Source organism: Homo sapiens, chromosome 9 (assembly GCF_000001405.40).
Source record: "Homo sapiens chromosome 9, GRCh38.p14 Primary Assembly".
NCBI classification, from domain to species: Eukaryota; Metazoa; Chordata; class Mammalia; order Primates; family Hominidae; genus Homo; species Homo sapiens.
The window spans coordinates 92,585,081-92,604,282 of NC_000009.12; the positions used below are offsets into that span (position 1 = coordinate 92,585,081).

The window sequence follows — 19,202 nt, forward strand, 5'->3', positions numbered from 1 at the left end:
AGGGAGATTTCCTGAAGAGATGGCATTTGAGTAGAATGACAAGAATGTTTACAGGTGATGCCTGAAGGAAGACTGCTCACTAGGACTGGGCTGTAATATTAGAAGCAAAGGCTAGAAAGTAAGTTTGGAGAAATGTTACAGAGGGCCTTGAGTACCACATTTTAGAAATATAGTCTTCATTCTAGGCTCTTAAAAAATCAGTTTATATTTTTGAGGGGGGATAGTGACATGAAATCACTCATGTTTAAGGAGGATAGTTTTGGAGATTTGTAAATGATAGAGAATCAAAAGTCTGGCTCCATTTTTGATAGTTGACTATCCATTCACCAGTTGATGAGAATTTGAGTGGTTAGAATTTGTTTGTCTGTACCAAATAAAGCTGCTGTGAACGTTCATGTGCAAGTCTTTGTATGGACTTGATTTCATTTCTCATCGTTAGATTTCTAGGAGTGGAATTACTGGTTGTATGGCAAGCTTATGTTTACAGTTTAAGAAACTGCCAAACCAAAGAAAATGGGAGAGTAGGGCTCTCAAAGAATCAGTATCTCCTCTGAAACCACCATAAACTGCCAAAAATTGACAGTATAAACTTTCGGAACTCTGGAATCTAAAATTGACAGAATAAACTTTCAGAACTTTCAGAACACTTGCAACGACTGGGCAAGTGCTTGGTGAGGAGAAGGCCTATGAATTCCAGTGAAAGTATCAATATTATGGTGTTTTCACTAGGCTATCATCTATCCTTCCCTAGCACAGAAGGGGCGGCTGTGACGATAGCAGCCCATGTTCTTGGTGTAGCTTGCTTGGTACAAAGGGATGAATATAGACCTTCTTTAAAAACTGTGGTTGTTCATTCTGACCTGTCTGCTGGTTCCTGAAGGGACTGGTGCAGAGGCTGACCTTTGTCCCACCACCCCCTCATGAGTTGGAGTAGCTTTCTGGGAAGTGGTAGCATCTGTAGAAATTTTTTTTTTCTCTTTTTGAGACAGCGTTTCGCTCTTGTCGCCCAGGCTGGAGCGCAATGGCGCAATCTCGGCTCACTGCAACCTCCGCCTCCCGGTTTCAGACGATTCTCCTGCCTCAGCCTCCCAAGTAGCTGGGACTACAGGCATGCACCACCATGCCCGGCTAATTTTGTACTTTTAGTAGAGACAGGGTTTCGCCATGTTGGCCAGGCTGTTCTCAAACTTGTGACCTAAGGTGATCCGCCAGCCTTGACCTCCCAAAGTGCTGGGATTACAGGCATGAGCCACCGCGCCCAGCCTGTAGAAAGATTTAAAGTCATGTACTACCCCTGCCTGCCTGGGGCAAGGGATGGTGGACAGAGCAAGCAGCAGACAAATCCAAAAACCCTCGAAGGAGGAGGCTGGGGGAAGTTTCTTGGGGAACAGAGGGCTTGGAAGGACCATGCATATACCAGGGGAAAAAAGAGTACAATATACGTGCCCGGTATTGGATACATACTCAGAAAAGACCTAAGAGGAGACTAGCTTTGCACCTCTGCTGGAGCAAGTAAGGGGTGAGGGCTAAGGCAGAGTTGTAGGCAGGCTGCCATAGCTTTAAGGGAGTGCCCCTCTCAGAGCCAAAGTGGAAAGACTGGGAGAATCATTTTTTTTTTTATTTTCTTTGATCTCCAGACATCTAAGGAAATCTCCATCAGGTCACTGGCTTACCAATGAGATATTGTAACAAAGACTTCACTGACCACACACAAGCAGGAATACAGTCTGTGCAAATGGTTTGGAAAAGTTGTTAAGCAGACAACTGCAGCCCTCAGCAATCAACAACAGCAAACCCTGAGGACGGGAGAATTTGGTTCCTAGAATCACTGCATTCTGGTATTCAAAATACCTGGTGTTCAACAACAAGAAAAAGACAGGGCATAGAAAGAAACAGGAAAGAATGTCCCATTTGGTGGGGGCGGGGGCGGGGGCACATGGGAATGACAGAAATCATCTCTGAGGAAACCCAGAATTGGACTTACTAGACAAACACTTTTAATGAACAACTGTCCTAAATATGCTCAGAGAAAAAAGAAAAAAACAGGAAAACAAAGTATGAACAAAATGAGATATCAATAAGGAGACAGAAATTATAAAAAGGGGGCCCAGCCGGACGGTGGCTCACGCCTGTAATCCCAGCACTTTGGGAGGCCGAGGCAGGCGAATCACCTGAGATCAGGAGTTCAAGACCAGCCTGAGCAACATGGAGAAACCCTGTCTCTACTAAAAATACAAAATTAGCCAGGCATGGTGGCGTATACCTGTAATCCCAGCTACTGGGGAGGCTGAGACAGGAGAGTCACTTGAACCTGGGAGGTGGAGGTTGTGGTGAGCCGAGATCATGCCGTTGCACTCCAGCCTGGGCAACAAGAGCGAAATTGCCATCTCAAAAAAAAGGGGGGGGACCAATCAAATTGTGGTATTTGCATATAATGGAATATTATTCAGGCATAAAAAGGAATGAAATACTGATGAACCTTGAAAATTGTATGCTAAATAAGCCAGACACAAAAGGTTACATATTGTATGATTCCATTTATACGAAGTATCCACAACAGATAAATCCATAGAAACAGAGAAATTAGATTGGTGGGTGGTGGTTGTTGGGGCCAAGGGAGGCAGGAATTGGGATTAACTACTTAGTGGGAACCACTTTTATTTTGAAATGATCAGAATGTTTTGGAAATAGAGGTGGTGGTTGCACAACACAGAGAATGGAGTAAATGTCACCTAACTGATCACTTTAAAATGGTTACTTTTGAGCCAGGCACGGTGGCTCACACCTATAATCCCAGCACTTTGGGAAGCCAAGGTGGGCAGATCGCTTGAGGTCAGGAGTTCAAGACCAGACTGGCCAACATGGCGAAACCCGTCTCTACTAAAAATACAAAAATTAGCTGGGCATGTTGGAGCCAGGCATGGTGGTAGGCACCTGTCATCCCAGCTAGTTGGGAGGCTGAGGCAGGAGAATCACTTGAACCCAGGAGGCGGAGGTTGCAGTGAGCCAAGATTGTGCCACTGCACTCCAGCCTGGGTGACATAGCAAGACTCTGTCTCAAAAAATAAAATAAAATAGTTACTTTTATGTCATGTGAATTTCACAAAAGTATAAAAATAAAAATTTAAAGAGAGAAAGAACAGCTGTGAGTTTTTTGTTTGTTTGTTTGTTTGTTTTGGTTTTTTTGAGACAGAGTCTCGCTCTGTCGCCCAGGCTGGAGTGCAGTGGCGCGATCTCGGCTCACTGCAAGCTCTGTCTCCAGGTTCACACCATTCTCCTGCCTCAGTCTCCCGAGTAGCTGGGACTACAGACGCCCGGCACCACACCCGGCTAATTTTTTGTATTTTTTTTTTTAGTAGAGACATGGTTTCACCTTGTTAGCCAGGATGGTCTAGATCTCCTGACCTCGTGATCCGCCCACCTCAGCCTCCCAAAGTGCTGGGATTACAGGCGTGAGCCACTGTGCCCGGCCAGCTGTGAGTTTTAAAAGGTTTTTCTCTGTTGTAACATCTCCCTTCCCATCACCTAACCCCCAGGATATGGGCTCAGGGAAAAGTGTTTTGAAGAGAGAATAGATCTGTATAATGCTTAGTTGAAATCTTCCATAAACCCATAAGAGAATCACTTCACACCCATTAAAATAGCTGTAATCAACAAAACGCAGACAATATCAAGTGCAGGTGAGAATGTAAAGAAGGTGGAACCTTGGCTGGGTGCTTTCCTGGAAGAAGCTCCAATATTGGGCCCCAGAGTTAGGGTTGTAGGAAGATGAGAGATAAAGGCATTCTTCTTGCAAGAGTTAGTAAATCCCTAGTCTGAGACGCCCATGAGAGGTGAATGTATGTGGGGTTATGAATAAATAAAATACCTGCATTACTACGAAATTTAAGGGGACAAATATAGCTCTGCTTAATATGCAAATGTATCATTTCAGAATTTATAAAGGACATTAAAAAATTGAAAGGCACCAGGCACAATGGCCCACACTTGTAATCCCAACAGTTTGGGAGGATGAGGCGGGCAGATCACCTGAGCCCACGAGTTCAAGACCAGCCTGAGCAATATGGTGAAACCCTGTCTCTACCAAAAATACACCAAAAAAAAAAAAATTAGCTGGGCGTGGTAATGCACACCTGTAGTCCCAGTGCACCGTCACTAGGGAAGCTGAGGTGAGAGAATTGCTTGAACCCCAGAGGCGGAGGTTGCAGTGAGCCGAGATTGTGCCACTGCACTCCAGCCTGGGAGACAGCAAGACCCTGTCTCAAAAAAAAAAAAATTTTTTTTTAAGAGAAAAAGGAAACTACCAAATGGTTTTATAAAATGACTGTACCATTTTATAATGCACCAAAAAATTTGTGTAAGATAAGACCTGCAGGGAAAAAAAAAAATCCAAACCATGCTTATTGGAAGATATGCCCTTGTCTGTCAACCCTAACCCAAGAAAAGACATACTGACTTCCCAGAACAGCATTCCCACATTCTTGAAATTACATGGACATTCTCATACATGTTGGCTGTACCAACAGTATGTGAAGTTCCACCTTCTTTACATTTTTACCTGCACTTGATATTGTCTGTTTTGTTGATTACAGCTATTTTAATGGGTGTGAAGTGATTCTCTTATGCGTTTACGAAAGATTTCAACTAAGCATTATACAGACCTATTTTTTATTTAGAGCTCTTTTATTTTGAGCTTTTAATGATAGTTCAAATTGTTGTTGAATGCCTTTTTAAACTACTTTATCTTACAAAGTCTAGTTGTAATTTAAATTGAAGATAATCATATGTTCATATTTCCTGACTCTATCAGTTTTTATTCACCCTTTAATTATGATGTTTTTATTATGTTTAAAATATTGTATTCATCTGAAAAGCTCAAACTACACAGTATCATCCCTGCTCCCCCACACCTACCTCCCAAAAAGAGGTTTCATTGTTTCTTCGCCCCACTTTATAACAACATCAGTCACATTCACATACAAAGGATGTGGAACAGAAAAGACCCAAAGAGCTTTGCAAATGCTCCTGGAGGGCACTGGCAGGCACTGGTTGAGCAAGTTCTCTAATGGTGTGTCAGTGGTGAGGTACAGTTCAACAAAGAGTTTTCAGAGGCTTTAATTATATTAACACAACAAATTGTTAACTACTTGTTCTAAGGTTTTTTTCAAACTTTAACTTTAGTTTCTTCTCAATGCATTCTCTTGCTTTATAAGACACTATAAAACACATCTGGTTAGCATTCAGCACTTATGGCACTTGTAAATAAAGAATCCTCTTTCTATTACAAATGTGTGAATAAATGCTATGCTTAAAGATGTTTGATTTTTAAAACAGTGTAGAATTCGTATTTGTCTGAGGCCGAAGTATGACTTTTAGGAAATTGGAATCTGTCCTTTGGCTATTTTGTCTTTAAGAAAGAAGCTGACAGCTTGACTGTCTTGGCCCACACTCCCTGTTTCCATTTCCTCCTGCGGGCCAGGGCTGCATAATCAAAGTTAGACAGTTGTTATGCAAGCTTCCTGGTCTCAGGGGCCCTTATCCCTGTCCAGCCCTTAAACACAACATCTCTCTGTTTCCAAATAAATCCAAGAACTGTACAATCCCTTTCCATGTGTTTGGTCAGCTTTGGCTTCTGGAAATTAGTATGTTTCTTCAACTGTCATTTAAATGTGCAAGTTAGCTGAATTCTTAATAGAAGGAGATTTTGAAAGATAAATAGAAAGCTCACAAACGTCAAAACAAATGTATATAACTAATATCTGCATGTATCAAAGATTTCTAATCTGCAGCTTTTGACCCGTTTATTCAAACGTGATGCAGCTAATTCTAGTGGAACAAAATAATGTGGACCATAGTTTCAGGATAGAGAAGTATTAAACAATTGAAGTTTTGAATAAATGAGCCAAAAGGGAGTCAACATTAAAGTCTTTATACTTTCAGATAAGTTTAAACATTTCCACTCATTGAAATACCAAGAGAATGGGAATGCACTGAAAACATTATTCAGAGCACACCAAAAAGTAATAAAAAATTGTGCATAAAATAAGACCTGCAGGGGGCCGGGTGCGGTGGCTCACGCCTGTAATCCCAGCACTTTGGGAGGCTGAGGCGGGTGGATCACGAGGTCAGGAGATCAAGACCATCCTGGCTAAAACGGTGAAACCCCGCCTCTACTAAAAATACAAAAAAATTAGCCAGTGTGATGGCGGCCGCCTGTAGTCCCAGCTACTCGGGAGGCTGAGGCAGGAGAATGGCATGAACCCGGGAGGCGGAACTTGCAGTGAGCCGAGATTGCGCCACTGCACTCCAGCCTGGGCGACTGAGCAAGACTCTGTCTCAAAATAAATAAATAAATAAATAAGACCTGCAGGGAAAAAAAAATCCAAACCATACTTGTTGGAAGATATGCCCTTGTGTGTCAATCCTAACTCAAGAAAAGACATACTGACTTCCCAAAACGGCATTCCAGATACCACAGTATTAACAAAGGCTTGCAGATTGCCCATCTTAATCCAGGAAAATCACGGGAAATAAAATAGATGATATGTTCTTTGTAACAAATCCTGGAGAATCTGTCTGCGATGTTTCATTTATGGTCACTGTTCTCTAGGATAAGATAAATGTGACAGAGCTAGAAAAGATCCAAAGAGAGGAAGTAAAGTCACCAAGATGGCTACAGAGCTTCCAGATTAAAAAAAGAAAAAGCATTTTCCAAAGTGGAAGGGTAACAGCAGAGAGGAGGCATCTTGGCACTCATCACAATTTTTAAATTATAAATTTAATTTATTTCGTTATTTATTATCTGTCTTTTCCACCAAATTTTATGCTTCATGAGGTCAGGAATACTGTCTTATTTTTTAACTTTTTGTTGAAATATAGACATACATGGGTGCAGCACACCAACATGGCACATGTATACATATGTAACTAACCTGCACATTGTGCACATGTACCCTAAAACTTAAAGTATAAAAAAAAATAGACATACAGAAAAGAGCATATATAGACACATATACATGTATAAATGTATACACTTATACATGTATAAATATATACATTATATAAATGTATACACTTATACATTTATCATGGATATATTTATACATGATAAATATACAGTTTGATAGTTTTTCACAAAATGAACTTGTATGACCACCACTCCGATCAGGAAACAGCATGAGCAGCCCCAGAGCATGAAGCCCCTTCACTCCTTTCCATTCATTCTCCAGCCCAGGGCGAGCACTGCTGGCTCCTGACAGCAGGGATCCACTAGCCTGCTCTAGAACCTGATGTGTATGAAATCGGGCCATGCCTAGTATTCTGTGCTGGCCTTCTTTTGCTCCCTGTTGTTTTTTATGAAGTTCATCCACATTACAATTTTTGATCACACTGTAATTTTCGATCATTCATCTCATTGCTGTATAGTATTCCATTGTGTGGATATACAACAAAGTCTTTATCCATCATACTGTTCCTGGGTATTCCTCAGTTCTGGCTCTATGAACAGTAGCACCATGAGCATTGGGAACACGTGTGCAGATTTCTGTTGGGTGGAATTGCTGAATCATGTCATATACATATGCTCAGCTTTGGTACCTGTTTCCAAACAGTTTTCCAAAGCAGCTGTACCAGTTCACACTCTCACCAGCAGTGTATGAGGGTTCCATTTGCTCACCTGTTTCAACACTGGTTTTGTTAGTCATTTTTAGCCAGTTGGGTGTGTGTGTCATGGTATACCATTGTGGTATTAGTTTGTATTCCCCTGATGATGCACAGTGCTGATTTTGTTCATCAGTATATACCCAGCATTTAACATCATATCTGTGCTTTTTATTAAGGCTCTTTCTATACAAGTGAGAGAGGATGGGACAGAAACCCAACCTAAGTTGGCTTAAACGAAAAGGAACATTAGTGGCTCCTGTAGCTAGCAGAGAGACTGGAGTAGCTCAGACAACCAGAGCTGCTGGCCCCAGGGCTGGAGGCTTCTCTCCCACTGTGTGAGCCTCCCAGCAGCCCTGGCATCATCTGCCCTAAGCATCCACTTCTCAATCCCAGGTGGCAGGAGAGCTGCCCCCGGGGAGCCACACTGTGTGTAAGATGCTGAGAGTGCTGTGATGAGGTGAGCCAGCTCCTGGGCAAAGGTGAGAAGGATTTGTCACCAGAAGAAGGGAGATGAGAAGGCTCACTGGACAAAGAAAAACAGACTTCTGACAGACCACCGTGGCATCACACACAGGAGATACTCCATAATATCATTTTGAATGAATGAATGAGTCAGCCCAAGCTTATGTTGTGCAGGCCACAGACAGGGTGAACCAGAAATATTTTTACTGAAATTACTCTAGGAAAGCAAAGCCGTTTTAGGACAGCAAAGGATTTTCTTTCCTTCTGCCCTCATTTCCCCTAATTCAAGAGCTATTCTATGTTGAAATATGAATAGCTATAAGATGTTTAGCCAATTCATGGATGATCTGTACAGAAATGAATAAATGAAAGAGTGGTGTTTGCTACTCTTCTGTTATCTGTTTTGAGTTTTAAGTCAAGCCCATAATAAGCTGGTTCCTTCCTCCTGCCTGGGCCAACAATGAAAGCGAACAGTGATTAGAGTTTGGCAGAGCTGGTTTATGTGGTCTGTGGCCAGACTACAAGGCGAGTGTTATTTTGGGACCCAAATAAAAACTATAAGTTTTTTTCTTTAAATTCTTTCGGTAAAAAATGGGAGCCACTTATTAAAATAACCAAGCATAATAGTTAAACTGGTAGCAGTAGATAAAGGGAACCCGGTAGAGAAGCCAAGAATATAGGTACACTTTGCTACCTTTCTCACGAATCTCAAAGGTAATATGATATCCTGGATGGGAATCCTGGAACAGAAGGACATTAAGGCAAAACTGAGGAAATCTGAATGAAATTTGGACTTTAGTTATAGTAGTGATGCAGCAATCTTGGTTCATTAATTATAACAAACATCCCACACTAATGGAAGATGCTAATAACAGAGGAATAACAGGGGAAACTGGGTGTGGGATATGTAAGGACTCTGTATTGTCTTTGCAATTTTCCTGTCAATGTAAACTGTTTTAAAAAGTAGTTTAAGAAAAAACCAGGTGAGGGTCTTGGAGGAGCCTGTGCAGGGAGGCTCCTGGAGCTTCAGCTTTATTAGTTTTAGGGTCAGCCCACCTCTGGTCTCCCTCCATTCTTATCAGTGGGATCACGGGGAACCTAAAATTTTCTTGAGAAAGGCACCTTGAGTAGGTGGCCCCGTGAGCAGGTGGCCCAGCTGCTGCTTCCACTTCTGGCTCTGGGCCACTGGTACAGCACGGCGTGTCTGAGCCTTGTTTTTCTTATTTTAAAAGATGGGCATAATTTTATATCTCTGCCTCATAAAGGTGTTATGAGGTGTTAAAAGATCTTTCAACACTAGAACTACTATGCAAATGGAATAAATTATCATTGTCCTTTGGACTACTTTGCTGAGACTTTTCATCGCCCCTCAAGTTTTAAATCTCTGCCTAGTATTCATTTTATTTCATTTTTCCTTAACCATCAGCTCTTGATGTAATACAAAATTTCAACTTAAAATTTCATTTGTGGCCAGGCATGGTAGCTCACACCTGTAATCCCAGCACTTTGGGAGGCTGGGGTGGAGGGATCACTTGAGGCCAGGAGTTTGAGACCATCCTGGACAACATAGCAAGACCCCATCTCTACAAACATTTTTTAAAAACTTTTAAAAATTAAAAAAAGTTTTCATTTATGTAAGTTATTTGTGCCCTATTTTTCTATGTCCTGGATGTGAGAGGTTGCTCTTCTTTTTTTTTTTTTTTTTTTTTGAGATGGAGTTTAGCTCTTGTTGCCCAGGCTGGAGTGCAGTGACGTGATCTTGGCTCACTGCAACCTCCGCCTCCCAGGTTCAAGCAATTCTCCTGCCTCAGCCTCCCGAGTAGCTGGGATTATAGGCGCAAGCCACCAAGCGCAGCTAATTTTTTGTATTTTTAGTAGAGACAGGGTTTCACTATGTTGGCCAGGCTGGTCTTGAACTCCTGACCTCAGGTGATCCACCCACCTTGGCCTCCCAAAGTGCTGGGATTACAGGCATAAGCCACCATGCCCAGCCATGTTGCTGTTTTTCTAAGAACATGTGTTGACTTCATGGTTTATTTGTTTATTGATTTTTTGGAGATAAGATCTCACTCTCTCATCCAGGCTAGAGTGCATTGGCACAAACATGGCTCACTGCAGTCTCAACCACCTGGGATCAACTGATCCTCCCACCTCAGCCTCCCATGTAGCTGGGACCACAAGCATGCAACACCACACGCAGCTAATTTTTTATTTTTTGTGGAGATGGGGATCTTACCTTGTTGCCCAAGCTGGTCCTGAACTCCTGACCTCAAGCAATCATCCGGCCTTACACTCCCAAGGTGCTGAGATGACAGGCATGAACTCCCAAGTCTGCTCAGTTTTTTGTTTTTTGTTTTTGTTTTGTTTTTTGTTTTTTTTTTCATGGAGTCTCGCTCTGTCGCCCAGGCTGGAGTGCAGTGGCACCATCTCGGCTCACTGCAACCTCCGTCTCCTGGGTTCAAGCGATTCTCCTGCCTCAGCCTCCCAAGTAGCTGGGATGACAGGCGTGCACCACCATGCCTGGGTAATTTATTTTTAGTAGAGACAGGGTTTCACCATGTTGGCCAGGCTGGTCTCAAACTCCTGACCTCAGGCAATCTGCCCACCTCGGCCTCCCAAAGGGCTGGGATTGAAGGCATGAGCCACCGCACCCAGCCTATTTCCTTCCATTTTTAAAAAACTGAAAGCATTTAACGTAAGACTGTGAAGTACAAGTTTGAACATACATCATTGGCTTTATTTATAAAATATAGTATAAATATTATTTAAACTTTAAATTCTATACCCAAACTATTCATCAAGTATGAGGGAAAAATAAACACATTGTTAAACATGAAAGTCCTCAAAAAATGGCAGATTGAAACATACAGCATTTATCAGGCACCCTGCCAAAACCTTTCTAAAATGGCAGTAAAAAAGGTGTTTTGTTTGTTTGGTTGTTTGTTTTGAGACAGAGTCTTGCTCTGTTGCCCAGGCTGGAATGCAGTGGTGTGATTCTAGCTCACTGTAGCCCAGAATTCCTCGGTTCAAGTGATCCTCTTGCCTAAGTCTTCCAAGTAGCTAGGGCTACAGGCACACACCACCATGTCTAATTTTTAAAAATTTTTGTAGAAATGGGGTCTCACTATGTTGCCCAGACCGGTTAGTTTTTAAAAGACATAAATGCACAGATAAATAGGTAGGGCCAAGCCAAGCCCTGGAGTTCAAGGCCAGCCTAGGCAACATAGTAAGACCCTGTGTCAAAAAAAAAAAAAAAAAAAAAAAAAGAAAGAATAGAAAAATAGGTGGGAAGAAGGCAGCAATACAATATTGGAAGCTAGAAAGTGTGGTATTTGATTAAAACGAGAGAAAGCCTTGAGGAAGGCTGATGTGTTTTATAGAATTCCAATTTGCTCAGAAATGGGAGGCATCAAGTACATTGGAAAGTAGGGACAGGATGGAGAAGAGTTAGTCGGAAGTCCATACGGGAGGCAGAAAGGCTCTCCTACACCCCGACTTCTGTCCCCGCCATGACAGCAGCCATCTATTAATAAAAAAAACGATGATAAGAGCCAGAGAGGTTCTGGACTCTGGGCCCCACTGTGGCTTTTTTTTTATAACCTTCCTCTATAATACTTCCTCTAAGTATTTTTAATAAAAAATGAGGCATAGGAAGTTTCCTTTACTAGATCAGGGCTCTTCAAGGTTGAGACTTGGCTATATTCATGTCTAGCACTAGATTGGGAAAAAGTGAGCAAATTTTTAGGGGCAATTATGTTTCCCAACAAAAATGTTTTTTCTGCTACCATCAAAGTCAGTTGCCAGCACTGAATTATGCTGCTACAAATTGATTGTGATAAAACTTGACCTGTATACTGCAACTATATTTGAGCTTAGAGATGTTATCTAGTAGAATGTTTATAAGCTTAGGTTTTGGAATCTGTTTCCCTTAGGTTTTAATCAATTTACTAGTTGTGTAATCTTAAGCAAGTTATGTTAATTATTCTGAGCCTTAGTTTCATTAAAATGAGCAATATACCGCAGATTTCATATGACCACTGTGAGGATTGAATGAGCTATAGTGCAAGTCGACTGCACAGGGCCTGCAAGAATGAAGGGCTCCAAACGGGGTGGGGACAGGAGTGGGAGTGATTTGTCTTGTGAAAAAGAACCTGAAGACCTCAAGAACGCCTGCCAATCTCAGAATCTCCCTTATTCTGTGAAAAAGTTTAAATGGGATCATAACTTTAAATTATAATTAGTTTCAATGTTTTTAGACAGCATTACTTTGAGATTTATGAAATAATGAGAGTTTAAACCTTAATGATAAAATTTTCTGTGTATATCTGGAATATTACTTTCATTATCTGTTATAATTACATATGAATAATTACATAAAGAGAAAATTGTGGAATTATCTCTAAAGAGTTTCTAGTATTTACTGTTACATTGATATGTGTGTGTATATTTAGCTTCTTCATTATCATTTCTGACTATTTTAAAATAAACCAACTTGGCTCACATTTTCACATTAGTGGTCTAGGAGGGAAGTGAATTCCTTTTCAAAGCTTAAAATTACTACATGATTAACTTTCAGTGATAATCTTAAAAAAGAACTACTGCTAGGACTTACATTCCAATCTGAAGCATTCTCTGTTTTCTCTAGTAATCTTAATGGGAAGTCAGTTTTTTATGGGTACATTTGCCTTTAGAGTGATTGCAGGGTGCATGTTTCTAAGGTGTATAAATTACTGACTTTGCTTGAGTAATTTTCCCCTTTCCATTCTAAAGTGGGAAAGTATAGAAAAATCATATTTGTAACTTTTATTCATTTTTAGGATTCCCATATCCGTTTGTTCCTTCTTTTAGTTCCATTTTCTAGACAAAGTGTTTGTGGCCAAACGTTCACATCATGATCTCTCCCAGCACCAATTCTGATTTCCCAAAAAGTGCTAAGGTTTGTTTTCAAACTGGTTTGAGGTGTTCTTTGGGGGTGTGGGTTTTGTGAGTCACAGGGCTCCTCTCTGTCTGGGCTGGCCAAGGGCAGGGGCCAGCTCTCACCCCCCACTGCCATGGGTCCCTCTGAGAAGGAGTGAAGGAGGGGAGAAGGTGGGCATGTGAGGGCGAGTTGGCCTCATCCCCACAACCCCAGCACAGTAGTCCTTGCTCCTCTGAGCTTTCTATAATCACCCTAGCAAAGGGACAGTGATTTCCAGTGAGAAAACCCTCCACAGAGTATCGGGAGTAGTGGGAATCTACTAGAGGATGTGTCAGGAGGGAGAAATTACATGGGGAAATAACTTGTCTTCATTTTCTCTGGGGTTGTGATGTGACATCACATGGGCAGAGGCAGCACTGGGTCTCACCCTGCACTGTGTGCACAAGGGTCCAGTTGGAACAAGGTCAGGAGGCAGGGCATCTCACTGGCCTGTCCACATGGCCAGCTCGGAACACACTGTTTCCTGTCTCCTGAGACAGAAATTTGTATGAGAAGCAAAGATTACAAAGATTACAGATAAATGAAATTTAAATATTCAGTTATAAAACAAATAACTGAAGGGGTTTTTTTTTTTTTTGAGGAATTTTTCCAGCTTAACAGAATTAAAATGAACTATGATGAAACATGGCAAAAACTACAAGGAGGCCAGGCGCAGTGGCTCACACCTGTAATCCCAGCACTTTGGCAGGCCGAGGCAGGTGCATCACTTGAGCTCAGGAGTTCGAGATCAGCCTGGCCAAAATAGTGAAACCCCATCTCTACTAAAAATTAGCCAGGCATTGTGGTATGCACCTGTAATCCCAGCTACTAGGGAGGCTGAGGCAGGAGAATCACTGGAACCCCAGAGGCGGAGGTTGCAGTGAACTGAGATCGCACCACTGCACTCCAGCCTGGGATGGAGTGAATTCCACACCCAGAGTAAGACTCTGTGTCAAAAAAAAAAAGGAAGTGGAAATATGGTTGAGAATAAAGGGATTTCTGTTGGAATTTCATCCCTAGGGGTTTGAAAACCATTTTACTATTCAGAAGCACAGAAATGGCCCAAACCAGGCCCTGAAAGGAGCCCAGGAAACAAAAAGGGTGAAAAGAAAAAGAAAAAAGTCCATCTTAGGCTTAGGGGCTAAGGTCACACAGGACAGACCTCCCCGTCCGACACCAGCCCCTGGCTAGACTATCACTGTGCCATACGGGAGGGATTGTGTGGTCAGTAGTTTTTGTTTTGTTTTGTTTGTTTTTGTTTTTGTTTTTGTTTGAGACAGAGTATCCCTCTGTCACCCAGGCTGGAATGCAGTGGTGCGATCTCGGCTCACTGCAACCTCTGCCTTCCAGGGTCAAGTGATTCTCCTACCTCAACCTCCTGAATAGCTGGGACTACAGGCTCCCACCACCACGCCTGGCTAATTTTTGTATTTTTAGTACAGACGGGGTTTCACCATGTTGGCCAGGCTGGTCTTGAACTCCTGACCTGACGTGGTCCACCTGCCTCGGCCTCCCAGAGTGCTGGGATTACAGGCGTGAGCCACTGCGCCTGGCCCAGTGGTTGTTTTTTTAATCTGCTTTCCTCCTGTTTCTCAGAGTCACTTCCCAAGAGAAAGCACTATTAAAAGTATGGTGTAGCTCCCACTAGATGTTTCTCCATTTACGAGACATGGTCAGATTACTTTCCCCCTAGGCTGTGGCCTCCTCCAGCCTCTCTTTTGGTTTATCTGTGTCTCATGAACATCCAAACTGCCTGGAGCTCCACAGGCTTCCCTGGGGGACCAGTGGGACCCACCTCCCCTGGTCTTTCCTGGTCCGTGTCTTCTGCAAAGGGCCAAGGAGTAACTGTTTTAAGCTTTGCAGCCATGTAGTCTGCTCAGTCACTAAGTTCAGCACAAAAGCAGCCACAGACTGTATATACCTAAGTGAGGGTGGCTGTGTGCCAATCAAACTTTATTACAGACACTGAAGTCTGAAGTTTGCATTTAATGTAATTTTCACATGTCACGAAATCTTTGGAGTTCTTTTCAACCATGTTTAGCTTGAGGTTCCATACAAGAACAGAAGGGCGTGGGATCTGGCTTCTGGCCTGTCATTTGCTGTCTCCTGCCCTGGCTCTCTTCCTGTCCATACAGGCCCATTATTCATGCTTGCATTTGCTGTTTGTTTATTAAAATTCCCCAGCTCTTCGTTTTAAAAATGCCATTGGGATATATTTCCAGTAGAGTGGGTCTCTTTCAACTCTGGGTTTCCCTGGTTCTTCCCAAGTCTGTACAAACAAGAAAAGTTGGGTCAAGGGAGGATGGAGGCTCCCAGCTGGTCTGTTCTGCAAAGGTCTGGAGATGAGGTAAGTGCTGAGGGCTGGGCCACCCCACTGGGGCTGGGGCACATGGAGAATGTTTGGCACAAGCCCTTGCGAGGGTTCTGGGGCATCAGTCACTACCAGAAAGACAGCGCAAGTCATGCCCTGGTCGGCCATCCCTTCTGGTGGGGGTTGTGTTTTTGCTCCTGTGGCAAAGTGCTGCAATGACATTCCAGCTCTCCCAGGTTTATGCCCCACCATGGGTTTGGAATAGAGAGGCTTTTCTGGTTGTTTGTTTTACTAAGCAACATTTAGGACACATTTTTTAACTCCCTGTGGACAAGCAATCCTTCTAACAGAGCTCCTCAGCTGTTCCCAGTTATTTTTGTGGATGGTCTTGTGGATGGTGCAGGTCCCCTGAGGGGTCCTTCCTGGACACCCATGTTCATCCACTGAGGGCGACTGATCTCTGACTTCCGTCCCCACACAGGGTCAGACAAGTGGGTCTGATGCCTCCTGAGCCAGCAAGTTGCTGTGCTCCCTTGTTTTTTACCAACCAGACGACTCTTAGGGGCAGACGTGTGTGTCGCTAGGTCTGTGTTTGCGTGTCCGAGCCTCAGGACCACGTCCAGGAAAGTTAGGCTAATATGGTTTACAGGAGGCAATTCAGCAGCATAGCCACTGCATTCCTTTCTGCTTGTATCACTACATGGACGTATTTACTTCAAAAACACAAATAGAGTCTAGAAAAACTGGTTAAAAATCCACACAATTAGACTTGGAGATACAGTCTTTCCATCCTGTATGTAATCAAAAGATTTAAAAGTCAGGCACCTTTTGTCCAGCCTTGTAGCCTGGGGATTTCTGTTAACATTTCAGTCGGACGCTGTGTCAGTGAGGGACTCTCTTCTGCTAGGTGTGCCAATCAGGAAATTTCCAAAGGGAGCTTCTGGTGCTGCCGGCGGTTAGTTGTTACTTCAAATGATTGTGATGATACAAAGTGCTCGAATATCCAGTCCTTTCCATGTTAGAGCTCTTGAGAATCTGAAAACCCCATCTCGCCTCCCCCGTGGGGGTACCAGCCCTCATTTAAACGCCACGCTGTGACCAAAAGGACAGAGGTGCCTGGCCTGGTATTAGGCCCGGGAAAGTCTCAGTGTCAGATAAATGACTGCGTTGTGTCAGCTCCATGTCACGCTCCATGTGCCCACAGAGGAGTGGGCTGGGAGGGGACAGCAGGCACTCTTGGGAGACTGTAAATCGGCTGATCAAACAAGGGGATACACTGAGGGTGAAGGGACACAGTCTCTCCCCAACAGCAAAGCGACTGACAGATGTCAAAAGAGCTAGACTGAGGTGTCTGGGAGAGCTCGTGCCTGCGTGTTTTGAATATGGGTGTGCACAGACAGGGGTGGAAGTGGCTGCAAGTGGCTCATGCACCTGCACACACCAGTGTGTCCTTCCTAGCTCTTTCCACTGACAGGCCCTAGAAGTAATGAAGCTCCAGGAGCAACGAGCCCAGGTCCTGGTTTGTAAATACTGTCAGCTCCTTTGATTCTAGAGCTGGGCAGGGAAGTACAAAATGAGCCTAGAACAGCTGATGATGCCAGAGAGTAGGAAGACCTCAAAGAATGGTGGGGCTGTGTCAGAAGAACCAGGAGCAGTTTACAGGAGCTCATACTGGCCAGACCTGGGGGCTTGAGCATCACGACCAATAGTGATCTTAAACAGGTTACAGCCTATGGAATAAACAAGTGACTGAGTGGATACTGATACAAATGAATAAGGGAAAAGGAGAAGCTCTTTCTGCTGGTAGAAAGCCAACAGATGCGGGAGGAATGATGGAAACGGAAAGCCACCTTTTGGGACCCTCACTGTCGTTGGTGTTGCCATGAGCCATCATAGGGTCTCAGACTCAGGAGTGGACAGTGGTCTCAGGACATCCCATGGAGCACAGTGGTGGGGCCGCGTCTGAGGCACACAGGCAGCATTTCCATGGGGCTCCAAACCTGGCATCAACTCAGCATGGATATGCAGCGTTAGGCCCAGATTCAGCAATCTGTGGTGCCAGCAGCTGCACCCAGGCTGTCAAGACCAGCCATGCTGGGGCCTGAGGGGACAAGGAAGGAGAGACGCAGTTGGGACAGCTGGGGACATCTGAAGGGGCACGTTCTGGTTTGGAGAAGTATGTTTTGGTCACATAGGAGATCTGCTCAATTGGGGAAAAACCCTGTGTGTGTCCAGGGGCGAGGGGTACCATGTCTCAGCATGGCGCAACACAGAGGGAGGTGACAGGCGGTGTGAACAGGCGGCAGCTTCTCATTCTCCTCGTATACTGTTTCTGTAAATTCAAAATTACATTCAAATTAAACTTTTTTTTTTTTTGGCGCAATTTCGGCTCACTGCAACCTCTGACTCCCTGGTTCAAGTGATTCTCCTGCCTCAACCTCCCGAGTAGCTGGGATTACAGATGGGCGCCACCACGCCCAGCTAATTTTTGTATTTTTAGTAGAGAAGGGGTTTCACCATGTTGGATAGGGTGGTCTCGATCTCTTGACCTCGTGATCCGCTCGCCTTGGCCTCCCAAAGTGCTGGGATTACAGGCATAAGCCACCACACCCAGCCTCAAATTAAACTGTAAAAACACGACTGAGGCTCAGAGAGTTTAAAAGGGATTTCTCAAAGTCATATAGCCAATCAACAGCTAAGTGGGCTGAGGTGGGACAAAGGCCCCTTGTCCCAGGCAGGGCAGTTGTGCAGGCCCCAGGGCCCCGGCAGTACCTGTTCACTCGGTAATGGTTTGATTGTCTAACACACATAAGATCATACGCATGGTAATGTGTGAAGAACCTAGACCAGTGTCTGGCACAGAGGTGCCTTTGTATTTGTCAGTTTTCTTTCTGAAATGAGGGCAGATCATTGTTCTTCCCAGTGCTCCTGCTGTAGGCATTTCTAAACCTTTCTGAAGTTTATCATACTTCTCTCAGAAGTCTTGTGCGTGGAGAGCAGGGGTGTGGTGGTACACTCACCAAGACACCCACAGTGCCAAGTCCAACAGACATGTCTCTGCTACTTTCACCAGATGCTGCAGGAGCTGTTGCCCACTCCCTCCTCAGCGATCCCTGTGCACTTCCCCACCTTCCTGCCTACACTCAGCTCTGATCACCCCCGACACACCTCTCCTGCCTTACCTCACAAAAAGTACCTCATCTGCACCCCTGCCCTGGAGGTCAGAAACTCTCCACACCCCACATCCAGCAAGCCCTGATGCCACACCCCCAGAGCACATCCACGTCACTCCAGTGTCACTCAGCCATGGTCCCCCTGCTTTCTCCCACATCTTGCCCACCTCCCCAGTCCACTCTCCATGCAGCAATCAGTGTGATCCTTTCCAAATGACATCAGGTGGGGTTCTGGGGACCAGTCTGTGTGTTCTGGCCCTGCCCTGCTCCGAACTTCATCCTTGCCCTTCTCCCCACCACCAGCAGGTGGTAATGGGGCTGATGTGCATTCTTAAAGAATCACTTGCTGCTCCCAGTTTTGGCGCTCTTACTAATGATCGTTTGCATGCAGTTTTTTTGTATGGACATGTTTTCCTTTCTCTTGGGTAAATATGTAGGAGAGGGATTGCTGGATCACGTAGTAAGTGTGTTCAATGTGGTAAGAAGCTGCCAAACTTATCCAATTCCTAGCAGCAGTGTATGTTAGTTCCAGTTGTTCCACATCTTCACCAGAACTTAGTATTGTTCTCTTTTTTATTTTAGCCATTCTGATGGGTATGTTGTGGCATCACCGTGTGGTTTTAATTTGCAATTCCCT

At 43.9% G+C, this 19,202-nt stretch overlaps 1 protein-coding gene across 4 annotated transcripts in view; it reads left to right on the forward strand.

Annotated features, from left to right (window-relative positions):
- The window catches only part of CENPP (centromere protein P), a 295,062-nt gene that overhangs the window by 259,613 nt on the left and 16,247 nt on the right, over positions 1-19,202 (forward strand). The window contains exon 1 of one of the 4 annotated variants that reach the window (NM_001286971.1): positions 15,177-15,428. The exons of the other annotated variants lie outside the window; for them this stretch is intronic. Coding sequence (NP_001273900.1) covers positions 15,384-15,428 — 45 coding nt within the window. The 5' untranslated portion in view covers positions 15,177-15,383. Of the gene's footprint in view, positions 1-15,176; positions 15,429-19,202 lie in introns of those variants that run through there. 4 annotated transcript variants of the gene reach the window in all.